Here is a 13,883-nt window from a genome sequence, read left to right on the forward strand (position 1 = left end):
AGAGGCACACTGGCTGGCCAGGGAAGTCATTTCAGCATTTTAATCTGTTATATGGATAATGTAGGATTGACTGTATCTTCGTTTGTGAGGATTTTAAAGAGGAGAAAGATTCTCCTGAAAGAATATCTCTTGAAAGAGTTCACTAATAATATTAGTCATTTCAAACCTAAGCTAACTGTTGTCAGCTGGGTGATTTTAAAATCACTTTCAGTATGCATTTTTCTTCTTAAAAATGAAGTGTTTCCAGGATTTTATTCATGCTAGAGTTCAGAATCAATAATCAAAACAAACAAACATCAATCTCACTGAGTTCCATTATTAATACTTGGAAATTGGTGGGGGGTGTGTAAAAGAAGATCTGTGTTTCATTTGAGATATTTATTCTCCCACCCACCCATCTGTAAATATTTCTAGTCATGGTGAAATGTCTCTCCTCTTTCCTGAAGCTAAACCACCTTTCTGCTCCTTATTCCATCAGTTACGCCCTGTGTTTCCTCTGGTTTTGATTTCTCCTACTTTACTGGCACTTTTCTTTCAGTTTATAAATAGGATCAATAAGGCAGGAGACACTCTTCTTCATCTCTCATTACCGCAGCTGCTCCTTGCCCTCACTACCCAACTGTACCCAGTGTCTTCACTCCTTACCTCCTGTTCATTCTTCAGGCCCATTGAACTCAGTGTTCTGCCTTCATTACTCCTCAAAAGTTCTTCCAACAAAGGTCACCAAAGCCTCCTTATTGTCTGATGCAGCAGGCCTTTGTGGTATCCTAAGTGACTCCTCTACAGCATTTAAACACCGGGAGCTGCATTCTTTCCTGCTCCTCTCTTTCTCGGGGCTCTCTCCTATTCTCCTCCTACTCATTTTCAATACCTTTACAAGTGTTCTTCCATTAGCTCCTTGACTGTCCCTCAAAGCATGGGAGCTCTGCATGGGCACCCTTCCCTTCTGCTCACTATCACTCTCTTTCATGCATCTGGGGAGGGTTACTGACTCCAGCCCTCTCTCCTGAGCTCCAGCCCTGTATGTTCAGCCAGCATTTCACTTGATATGCCACATGCTGCCCAAATTCGCCTTTGCCCAGTCTCACACACCTGTTCCTCCTCATCCTCCCTGTCTTTGTTAAGGGACCATCATCTTTCTAGTCACTCAAACCTTGGCATAATCTTACACTCTGCCAAGACCTCATGAATTCCACTAAATAGTGTTGGTTTAGCCATTTAAATCTTTCTCAGATATGCTACCTTCTCTTTCTCCTCCTTGTCATTGACGTCATTCGGGTTGGGACTATTTTTCCTGGACTGCCCTGCAATAACTCAGCTGCGCTCCCTGCCTGTAGTCTAATGCTAATCAACACTGGACAATCTAAGTTATTTGTCTGGTCCACAAAACAATTTCTTTCCCTAAAATCCAAGCTAGCTTTCCATCTTTTGGTTGCAGAACCATGTCCTTTCTATTTCTTGTCTCTATAATGTACCCTATTCTGACTGTACCCCATGGACAGCTTGTCTTAGCTCCAGGCCAGCTGCCTAGTCTACACTTCGGCTTGGGTATTTCTCAGGCACATGACCTCTCTGAGTGTGAACCCAAGCCAGAAAACCAGGAGTCATCCTAGAATCTCCCATCTCCTTGAGCCCCACATACACTGACACAGAGACCTTTCAGCCCCACCCCCTTAACTTGTTAAATCTCTCTCATTGTCTCTCTTTCCACTACTACTGTCTTCAATCAGATCCACATTACTTATTTTATGGACTAAAGCAACTTCTTGCTAACTGATGAACCTGCTTTCCCTCTTGCCCCATTCCAGTACAGAATTCCAAAATTCTGTTTGATAGATTTTGAAAAGTTTTCTTAATCCATGAAAAATTCTGTTTGATTGATTTTTTAAAAAAATCACAACCTGATCATGTCATATCCTTGCTTAAAATTATTCATTATGATGAATGTGGTTCACATAGTCTTCAGGATGAGGTTCACTCCTTTTAATTTGGTACACAGGGCCTGTCTTTATTATGAAATGTGCTATCTCTTTGGCTTTTTTTTTTTTGACAATTTACTACCCATGTGCAATGCCTGTTCCACAGTCATTATGAACTTTGTGCATTTCCCTGTACCTAATCCTCTTCATACGAAACCTCCTTTTCTGTGAATTATTTTTCCCTCACTTTGTCACCTTCTGAATTCCTATTTAACTTTCAAGTACTTGGCTCACATTGTCTCCTCTTCCAGAGTTGCCTGATCAATCTACTCAGTTGGAATTATATCTTCCTCCTCTTCTTTAATTATGGGCAATCTTCTGGGAGGCCATATTGTTTGTGTTAATTTACTTATCTGTCTCCCCAAGACATAAGTTTATGTCCCAAAGTTGTGTGATGTCGGACAAGTTACTTAACCTCTTTGCCCCCCAACTCCTCATCTGTGAAATACAGATATGGTATCCTATATACAGTCTACCTTTTAGGGATGTTGAAGGATTCAATGAGATAGTGCATGCAAAGTATCTTACAAACACAGTATCCTACATCGGTGAGTGCTCTATAAACCAGAGCCGATATAATGTGGTGCTTCACCTGTGAATTCCTCTATTAATTCCACAGTTATCCTCCTACCCAATCCCCTCACCCCTGTCTTCCCTCATTTCTGGAAATGTCAGCAAATTTTCTGCCTACTTCAAATTGACAACCTATTGGACAAATCTGTTCCTGAAATTTTGGGGAATAATCACCATTCTGTAAAAGATATTCTTCCTCTTAGCCACTTCTCTTTGATTTTGCTGAAATGCATACATTGTTTTTTAGAAGCCACAAATAATTAAATGAACCGTCACTTTCTTTCTGCCTCTGAAATTTGAAAACATCATACTGAAATTGTACTTTAATAAATAATAAAATAATGCTTTGACAAAAGCAACACAATACATGGTATTGACACTTTGTAGACAGAAAATTTTGTTGTATTGTTTCCCCTGCCCTTTCTATAATTAAAACATCTTTCTCCATCCTGGTATACAGAATCCAAGAAACAATTGGAAAAGTCTTTCATCTCTAGTTCTAGTGCATGGTGGTACTTAGAAACACATATTGTCTGATTGGATTCCTTCTGCATGTACCATAAGAGCTCCCTATGATAGAAACTTTGATTATAAAGTTGCATGATATCCTATGCTTCCTGACTAGGGAACATAAAAACTGTGTATTTATTTAAAAGAAAAAAAATCTGAATTTTTCCTTACTGGGAGAATGCTATCCATGTGTCTCATTTCCCTCCAGCTGTCTTTCTTTCCTCTGGCTTTCCTTCCAGAGGAAGGAAAGGAGTGTGAAGGGGTGGAGACTTCTCTTCCCCTCTTCCTCACTGTCTATCCACAAGTATCTTTTAGACCAGGCTACCAACCTTTTTCCTGCTGCACATCAAGGGGCATGTGCCACAGGCCCTAGGAAGTGGCTGCTTGTCTGTGTCATGGACTTGGCTCCAGATACCCTGGCCTCAGTCCTGAACATTCAGTATAACGTTTGCCTACTTCAGAGGCACAGTTGAAGGCCTCGGGTCACACAGTTTGTTTGCTGCAACAGTATATTTATGCAGGACAGAGTCATTCCTGTCTTCACTGAAATGCATACTCCAGAGTAATGATTCCTAAACTTGATTATGCAAGGAATCATCTGAATGGATGGCTAAAACAGACTGCTTGGGCCCCACTCCAGAGTTCCTGTTTCAGGAGGTCTGGGGAGGGCCTAAGAACCTGTATTCTAACAAGTTTTGAGGGATGCTGATGTCTGAACTAGGGAGCACAGTTTGAGAACTCCCGCTCTAGATTCTGTTGCCACACTGCTTTTTATCAAGTACCTGACTGTTAAGTCACTGATATTCAGATTTTGAAAGTGTATTTGTCACATTTAGATGAATTTGAATTGCTCCTAGTAACATAAAGATATTGATGCTATGTATGCTTCATAGCATCCAAAAGATAAAAAGCGAAAATAATGCAAATCTGAAACAAACAAACAAAAAAACCTTCCAGGTCTCACTCTTATTCGTAATAATGATTAAGACAGTCTGTAGGTAAGTGAGGGATTTAAAAAAAAAAAACAAAAAAACTACTTTATTAAGTTATGATTGACATACTGAGGGATGATTTAAAGTCTGCAGTACTGGGCTAATTTTCAGCAATCTGACTTTGTGTACTAGAGCAAGTAGGGAAATAGATGATAATGACTTCTATACTATTCTTTTAAACATTTTTAAACTGATTTTGCCTATCCTGGTTCAAAAAGTACAGTTATTGAAATTTTAGTTTTAAAACCCTAGTTGCTCAGATAAACTATTTTCAATTAAAAGAAAATATATATATATATTAATTTCTTATATATATTCCATATTCATTGGCAATCTCCTTACGTGCTGAGTCAGGTTTAGTGAACTTTGAAACAGCATTTTGCAGCACGTAGTGACTGGGGCCAGAATTATTAGTTATTGTTGACGGCTATGTTTCACTTCCTCCCTACTAGATTTCCAGCTTACTAGAGAATTTCCCAAGGAACAATATAAAATTATTCATGAGCCTTGGGTATTATGCATACAATTGATTATGAAAATGTACTAGTAACCTAATTGTAGAATTCCTCTGTTACACAGCACAAATGTATTTAAATAGGCCTTGCAAGACTCCAAAAATTAGAGCATGCTGGAGTTTTCCTTGTACTTTTGAATTGCTGCTAATACTTTGTTTTCATTTAATCAAATTGTATCATATACATATGCATATCAATGTTTGAATATATCATTACATACAGTTGTCCATACATATTTACATATTTATATACAAAATATGCCTATATCTCTCTGTATGTTTATACATATAAACATATCTGAGTTTGATTATTTTATCATATTACAAGTTATCTGGCCTGCATTGTCAATGAATTGCTCATTTTTTCTTCTATAACAATTAGACTTTATCCTATCAACTCTATGACAATGTTGAGAAAATTCACAGAGCCCTTCACATGCACAATAAACATGATAACTTCTTTCCTATATAACTGATCCCAAGGCTATTAAAAGGTTTGGATTTTGTTTATTTATTGGTTTGTTTCAACCTGTTCCAAAGGCCAGACCTTACCGCACATCCACACCAGCCCCCTTTATGTTGCTTTCTCTACTCCTGGAGTACCAACCTTTCCTGCAGCACCAGGTTAGGTAGTCACATAATACCTTGATTTATAACTCAGTTGTAATCAAAATAGGAAACAGGTGGAATCACAACTGGGTATGGTGCCTTGGATATTAATGGCTTGGCTCAGCAGTGGAATTTCTAAAGCCGTATACACTTTTTTGTCTTAATTATGCATTCATTAAAAGCTTTTATACCCAACAGAATAAAGTAAATATTTTTTGATCTCCATAGTGTGCTCCCAGACTGTAGATTTGCACAGCGGGGTCTTGATAATCTGAATAAATTGTATTTCCCCAAGGAGTTTATCTTTCAAATAAGGTCATAAAGAAATGCAGCTCCCCCATCCGTAGATTTCTCCATGTGCCTTTTCTGCTATGAGTAATATAGAGCTTGAGAACCAGAGTATATTATAGTAATACATACTTGCTTATGGTCCAGTATAATGTCTCTATCTGTTCTCCCTGCTTATCTCCAGTGAAGTATTTTTTGAGTACAAAAGAAATGACAGCTATGGTTTTTGCTGACACTCATAGAAAAACAATGTCCATATTAGACATTCAGTGTTTTCTTCCCTTTACCCGCTCAGTGAGTATGGACTATGCAAAGCTATAGTTTAAGTACTGTTAACAGCATTTGTAAAAGGGAGTAATGATAGCTACTGTATGTTGAGCATCTACTATGTAGAAGGTACTTTATCTGCACTTTTGAGAATCCTTATCACAGATCTGGAATGCAGTGTCACTTTTCGCAATTTTTAGATGAGAAAATTAGACTTGAAAAGATTAACCACTTCCTGAGGCCATCCAGATGGGTCAGCTCCAAATCATGTGTTTTTCCTACAGCTCTAAACTAAAGACACCACCAGTGCCTTGTTCCCGCAGTTTACCACCCAGTGAAGGAGACAGGGAAACTATGAAATTAGGAACCTAAGTAAATATGCACAATTAGGTGTACTTATAATATTTCTAAATCATGAAGACTAAGATGGCAATGCACCTCATGGTGCATACGTATGCTAAAAGTAGCACACAGTTCTGAAAAGTTCAGGAAATAGCTTTTTCCCATCTTTTTAGGTTGCCATATTTATCTCCAGTGTAGCTAACATTTCTAGGCACGTACCTTTATTTAAATATTAAATAAATGTATTAATATTTAATAAATTATTTACATTGTAAAATATTTAAATATTTTTAGAGGAGCAGGAAAATCTATGTTTTTGCCATAAACTAAGAAATAAAAGCAATAAAATTTGAAATTTTAAAGATGTGGCATTTTTTCTTGCCTACCCACTGTATATCAATCAAAACTTGCTAGGTAGCCACTTTCTGAAGACAGAGAGGAAGATCTAAAGAACTAAAGATACTATCTGCACCTTTATGCACAGCTGGAGAGAGAAGAGTCAAACAAATGATACAAATAGCAAGTGCAATTAAAAGTCAGAGGAGGGAAAGTCCTCCAAGCTGGAGTGGCCTGCCTTTCCCTGGAGATGGAATCTGATCTGGGTTGTCCCGCAGAAGGGAAGGGCATTTATATTACAGAACTTCCCCTTTCTCACAAGCTTTTTAAAGTCTACTGAAGCAAACGATGTCTTTAAATCTTTCACAAATAATAATCATTTGTGACAAAAGAGTCTCAAAGTTCTGCTTATGGTATAAAGGAAAATTAATGTGAATTCATTTGATAATGTCTGATTTTTTTTTTTGGCAAACAGTTTGCACATTTATCTTTTTCTGATCATCACTAAAAACCAAGAGAAGTAAGCTTCTTTTTCAACATTCTGGGGAAAGGGGGAAAAATCTAACATATAGAAAACAAGGAGACCCAAGATTCACTGTGGAAGTCAGGCCTCATGTATCTGGCACCACAAGAGGGCATTCCATTTTATTTCCCAATTGTATGAAAAACCCAGTACCTAGATAGCATCGCAAGGGACTTTCTGAAGCTCAGATTAAGTACTTAAGAACACTTTTCTCAGTTAATTGTGGGAGAGCTGTTTATTTTGCCCAACTGTTAAGTTGTATCTATAACCAAGCTATTATTTCCTCTTTTCATGTAAAGTCATAGATGTGCCTCACAACTGTTTGCTTTTTTTTCATTCTTGATCCAACAAATACTTCTCTGTTGCAATCTATGAGAAAGACATTATGATTGACATTGTGCAGAATACAAAAAGCATACGATGCGAAATCTACTTTTTACTAGTTTACTAGGTACATTTTTAATAGTTTGAAGATAAGCTACATGCATGAATAGCTTAGTGACAAGCTTATGTGTATGTGATAGGAAACTTGAAGTGGGAGGCATTAGAATTCATTCAGTGATAAAGAGCCTTATACTTACCGTATCCTACTTGCTACTTGGTCCTTATAAGCAGCTGATACAATTTTTAAATTTCACTTTGACTTAACATTGTTAAAAATCAAACCATACTGATTTTTATGTAGAGTGGTTTCTCAGGCTGTTTGGAATAGATTTGGGAGTGGTTTTAAAAAGAGAATTTCTTGACTTACAGAGCCAAGGATGGCCTTTCATTTAGAGAAATTTTCAAATTGTGATATAAAATCAACATTTTATATAAGAACTTCATGTATGCTACTACATCATGGGCATAGAACCACTATGTCTCCTGCCTATCTTTATCTATAGTAAAGTATCGACATGGGGTAATTTAGGTGACATTTCGAAGGAGAGTTGTCTAAGTGAAGTGCATCAATAATTGGAAATGAAAGATTATAATTACATTGATGAAACAAAGCATTGTTAAAATAGCCACATCTGTTGAGTGTTATTACCCGGAAAAATCTGTAATCCTATTCAATTTGGACATCTTAGAGGGGGAAAACTTGGGAAATCAAAATGAAATTACTCTTGTTTTAACCTTGAGAGGAGTTTATTATCTTTAACCCAAGTCATAGTTTTCTATAGTGATAGTACATGATGCTTATTTTTCTTTCACACGTCAGTGGCATTCTCAGAACTAGATGAGACAGCAAGAGAAATAGGTGTTTTTAAGGCTTTGTTTTGAAGGGTGCCTCATCTAGTTTTAAGAATGTCAAAACACCTATTTTTAAGATGACTGCATCCACTGTAGACTAACTCCATTATCTACCCCACAAACAGATATCATATAATTATGCATAATGTGTATAATTTCTGTGTCAGAGGCATGATTAAACTGCAGTGTGGATGGGCAAGGGGTTATTGACAAGCCAGGGAGCCACGGCGGTAGCCAAAACTAAGACTATGTTTCAGAAATTCAGATGATTCTCAGCTTGTATCATCATTGGCACACAAGACACAGCTCTTGAGCGTGACATCCCTAAGCTAGGCTGTGGGTTATGTGTGGTAAATATGCAGACTCTAGGCATAAGGCTGCATGTTTTTCTCTCATTCAAGAAGGTATAGTAGAATACAAGTGAGTCTGGGTGGCATTATTTCATAGGCTTAAATCTACTCTAAATTATAAACAAAGTACTTCTTGTATGAACTTTGGTCATTTATTAGTAGTTCCTGCATAATTGAGATATTGAGAGACACCGCAAAGGCCATGGCCACTCTGCTGCAGATGAGACCCACCAGGGGACATCACCGAGGCCAAGACTCCTCCTTCTCTTGCTGCCTTCACTGGCTTGGGAAGGGTGGGCTGAAAGGCCACAGGATCAACACTGTCCTCAAACTGCCCTCCTTCCTCCCATTCATGTCCTAACTGCTCGATAATTGCCTTGCAAATGTAACTACACTTGAATATAAACCAAAATAAAACAATATTTGCCTTTCCCATATTTTTACCCCTACCGTATTTGGTAGTTAATCTGGGGAATAACCATTGAAGGAACCAATTAGGGAAAGAGGCCACACAGAAAGACTGAGTTTGGGGAATATATAAAGTTTAAAAATTATTGAACTTGAAAAACTGGTGTTTATTCCATAGCTAGTGTGGTATTGAGGACACATTTTATGGCTCCTCTTCTCTTATTTAACTTGTCATTCACACTATGAGAAACAAATAGAAGGAATAAGAGAAGCCAAATAGCCCTAAACCAAAGGAAAATAAATACTATTTAAAAATATTCCCTAAAGAACAACAATGTATGCACCATAATTCTGAATAGAAACTAAATTTCAAGTGAGAAGCAGTGTGACAGAAATGAAACCTTTTTAGAAAAAAAAAAGAGTAAGATTTTCTTTTACTCAAGAGAGTTTCTTGTTGCTGAGCTGTAATTTCCATTCAAAACCACTACCGCTACCTGGATACTTACATTTTTAAGTCACAGAATGCAGGAGAGCTGAGACAATCTCGTAATTAGGAAAAAGTATCATTTGAAAAGATATTAAAATCTTTTGATCTAAGTAGCCAATTGATAGAGGAAATAATTCTCTGTTGGACTGTAAAAGAAATTTGGGGTGGATTGATTTTTTTGTCACAGAAGAATGATTATATTATACTTGTTCAGTAACACTTTCAACTCTAGTCATTATTACCAATTTTCCCACGCAGAAAACAGGATGACCACTGGCTTTGCCTTTGTGTGTACGTGTCAGAAGGCCAGAAAGAGAAAGGGACAATCAGGAAGGCCTGTGAGATATGAAAAATGGCCTGATTTGGACAAGGTTCAGAATTGGATAGGCATATTGGAAAGACATGGGCTATTCTGTTTTTGCCTAATTATAAGTAAACAGAAAAAGCTCATGGGTATTCTTTCATTAAACACACATGTATTAAGCATCTGCTCCCTACTGGATACCAGGGACACACAAGGCATGAGACACAATCTTTGCTTCCGAGAAGCTTAGATTTGGTAGAGGGAGATAGATCTGCAGTTAAAGGGTGCTTGCAGTGACAAGTGATGTGCTAGACATATTTGCAGAGGGCAGAGTAGAAGTACACAGGAAGAGGTGGTCAATTTGACCTGACCCAGGGAAGTTGAAAAGATGATATGGTTTCTTCATTCAGCAAGTGTGGCTTGAACGTACCTGGCATTGTTCTAGGCTCTGGGGATACAGTGGTGAACAAACCAGCAGCTCCTTCCTCCCATGGAGCTTACTGGGGGATCAGGGGAGGAGACAAGCACATTATAAACAAGTAGGCAAATAAATGCTGAAGATAATTATAGGTGGTGACAAGCTCTAAAACAAATAAGATGGAGAAATGTGATTGACGGTGACATGGAGAGGAAGGGAGATGTGCTGTATAGGATATTCAGATGAAACAAGGGAAACACAATTCCTATCCCATAGGAATTTTGCTCATGCTGCTTCTTTGGCTTGGAGCATCTCCCTGAAATCCTACCATCATCCTGTTTTAAAATGTAGATTTTGTTATTATTGAGTTATGGTGAGGCCAACAGATCAGGAGACAATTACCATTGAAAACATGATTTGTTTCTGCTCCAATAAGAGGGCACAGACCACACCTCCAGGACTGCATAGGGAAGCCCCAGGGTTGGTGAGGAGGTAGAAGGAGTGAGGGGGGAAAAGTGGACTAGAGTCTTTATAGTGGTATCTGCAGGAAGGAAGTGGGCAAAGCAGGGTTAGCAGGCTTATGATTGGCTAGTTTGAAAGTTTCCATGGGTTCACGAGTGTAGGGGCTGGCTCTGGTTGTCTGGTACTTGGCCCTGGGATGATGGGGACAGAGGACTATTGCCTCCTGGAGTGTAGAAGCCACATAGAGGAGGTGATTTAGAGTATGGGCTCTGGATTGGTTAGTTTGCATATGAAAGCCGTTTGCTCTCTCAAAGAATTGGCTAGCCCTGGGAGGGGCAGTCTATTCTCAGTCAGTGAAACCCCAGATGCCAGAACATGGAGAATACAGAAATAAAATGTTGTTAATATACATCCCCATCCCACCCTTTGCCAAGTGAACAAAGGATGCTCTTCCTTCAACTCTCAGCATCAAACGGCTTCTCAGGGAAGCCTTTACTAACTTTCCACTCCAAGTCAACTCCAAGTTAGTCCTTTATTAACTCCAAGTCAAATCCCTGTTATGGACACTCATAGTCCTATATTCTACTCTTTGTAGCTTTTACCTCAGTTATAGTTTTCCATGTAATTGTAAGGTTTTTTGATTTATGGCCTTCTCTTCCAGTAGACTATATATACCATAAGGCCTAGGGCTTGCCTTTTTTTGCTTATCTGTGTTGCCAATTCCTGCTGTAGTCCTGGCACATGGTGTGAATGTGTAGGTTGTTGTCATGGCTAGAGCCAAGCCAGGGTGGATAGGGTTGCTGCACCTTAGGATGTGAAGATCGCAGTGCCCCGGTCATGGAAGGCTATACAGTGTTACTGAGTTTGGACTTTTTCCCCAAAGCAAATAACTTATCAGACTTATCAGTGGGTTTTAAAGAGATGATAAATATGGTAGATTCTTGTGAAAAGAGAGGATTGAGAGTTTGCTGCTGGAGGCAGGAATGGTAATTTAGGACACTGTTGCAAGAAGTCCAGACGGGATGATAAGGAACAGAACAAGAAATACTAAAGAGGAAAAAGAGACAGGACTGGCGATTGACTAGATGTAAGGGAGGAATGTAGGCCAGCTTTTGGGTTCTTGATGTGGGTGTCTAGATGTGACTGTTATCTAAAAGAGGAGATACAGGAGTAGATGCAGGCTATCATAAAATAAGCTCAGTTTAGGCTGGGAGCGGTGGCTCACACCTGTAATCCCAGCACTTTGGGAGGCCGAGGCGGGCGGATCATGAGGTGAGGAAATCAAGACCATCCTGGCTAACACGGTGAAACCCCGTTTCCACTAAAAATACAGAAAATTAGCCGGGCATGGTGGCGGGCGCCTGTAGTCCCAGCTACTCGGGAGGCTGAAGCAGGAGAATGGCATGAACCCGGGAGGCGGAGCTTGCACTGAGCCAAGATAGCACCACTGCACTCCAGCCTTGGGCGACAGAGCAAGATTCCATCTCAAAAAAAAAAAATAAATAAATAAAAAGAAAGAAAAAAGCTCAGTTTGGACTTTGGACATGATGAGTTTATGACTGTGGGATATCCAAGAGACAGCATCTTCTTATAGGCAGTTGGGAAAATGAATTCAGAGCTTAGGAGAAAGATGTGGGTCAGTCATATAGATGTGGAAGGCATTAACTTGCAATTAGTTTTTATCTTAATTCTATGGTTTTTATTTTGGCCACCCCCTCTTTCCCTGAGTTAATGGTGTGCCTTATTCAAGACTTGAATATTTAAAGAGAACACATGCTTCATTTTGACCTCTTTGCATCAGTGATTAATCATGGTTTATGGATCCCAAACAACAATGCTCAAATATACTTTATTGTTCTTGCTCTCCCCCGCAACCTACTGTGTACTTTCCACGTGCCAAACTTTTATGGTAAGTGCTTTTCATACATTATCTTTATGCCAACCCTATGAGCTTGTTGAGCTCTTAAATTTGTACTTGGGGAAGGCTGGGTGCCGTGGCTCATGCCTGTAATCCTAGCACTTTGGGAGGCCAAGGTGGGCGGATCATGAGGTCAGGAGTTCAAGACCAGCCTGACCAATATGGTGAAACCCCATCTCTACTAAAAATCCAAAAATTAGCTGGGTGCGATGGCACGCGCCTGTGGTCCCAGCTGCTCGGGAGGCTGAGGCAGGAGAATCACTTGAACTTGGGAAGCAGAGGTTGCAGTGAGCTGAGATCGCACCACTGCATTCCAGCCTGGGCGACAGAGCAAGACTCCGTCTCAAAAAAAAAAAAAAAATTGTACTTGGGGAATAACAGAGATTCAGTGACTGACCCGAGGCCCCAGCCAATGGTGTGTCAAGCTGGATTTGAGCCGAGTCTGCCTGCCTCCACCGCCCTTGCTCTTCTCTGCCTGCCTTGGTTGCCTCCAGGTGCCTGTGGTGGCTGATGGTTTGTTTGGTCCTAAATGCAACTATTCTCTTTTTTCAACATATAAAAGACTTATTTTTTAAAAGTCTAGAAGTATATATACAAAAACATTAATAGTGATTATCTCTGCATGGTGAAATTATGAAGGATTTTTGTTTTCCATACTTTGTATTTCTGAATTTTATGAAATGAGCATTTATTACTTTTTATAACTAGAAATGGCACTCTTTCTATAACAGCAGTAATTTTTGTTTCCCATCCACCGTACTATTGTTGGGCATTTAATGAAGTTTATTGCTTCCCACCTTCCCCCATCACGTTAATGGAAAATTTAAAAGCAGCATTATTGGTGCTTATTTTGCTTACACATGGTTTAACCAAAAGGACAAAAAGCAATGGTTTTGCTTAAGACTCACAAAGCCCATCTGCCCCAAAAGGAGGAGTGTGTGCTATGTTGTCATTGCCTTGGGGTGAGTTTTCTTTTTCCTTCAGCTCCCCACTTTATACAGTTATCTGCTGAGGTGCAAACTATGCACCTCAGTAAGGAGTTCTTGATACTCTCAGGTAACCAGAAAGGGGAAAAGTAGGTTGAAAATTACTTGGATTTATAGAGTGAAATGGATATCTGATAGCATTATACATTCCTCAAGTTATTGGAAAACTATTGCTCATAATTATATTAATAATTGTAAGTTAAAAGTGAGGGGAAAGTAGGAAATAGCCCACTCTCATTCTACTTGACATATGCAAATTTTCTTTCAACAACTGTACTGTATCTCTGATTTTTGTGGGGGTACAGTGACAAAGGTACAGTGGAAGCTGTGGCTCTCTGGAGGCATAATTGTAGAGCCCTGGCTATGAGCTTGAGACTGCAG

The 13,883-nt window shown here is 39.1% G+C and overlaps 1 protein-coding gene across 25 annotated transcripts in view; it reads left to right on the plus strand.

The window, feature by feature from the left end:
* KLHL32 (kelch like family member 32) overlaps positions 1-13,883 on the plus strand; it is a 242,671-nt gene that overhangs the window by 172,446 nt on the left and 56,342 nt on the right. The window lies entirely within an intron of this gene.

Source organism: Homo sapiens, chromosome 6, assembly GCF_000001405.40.
Source record: "Homo sapiens chromosome 6, GRCh38.p14 Primary Assembly".
Taxonomy (NCBI): Eukaryota; Metazoa; Chordata; class Mammalia; order Primates; family Hominidae; genus Homo; species Homo sapiens.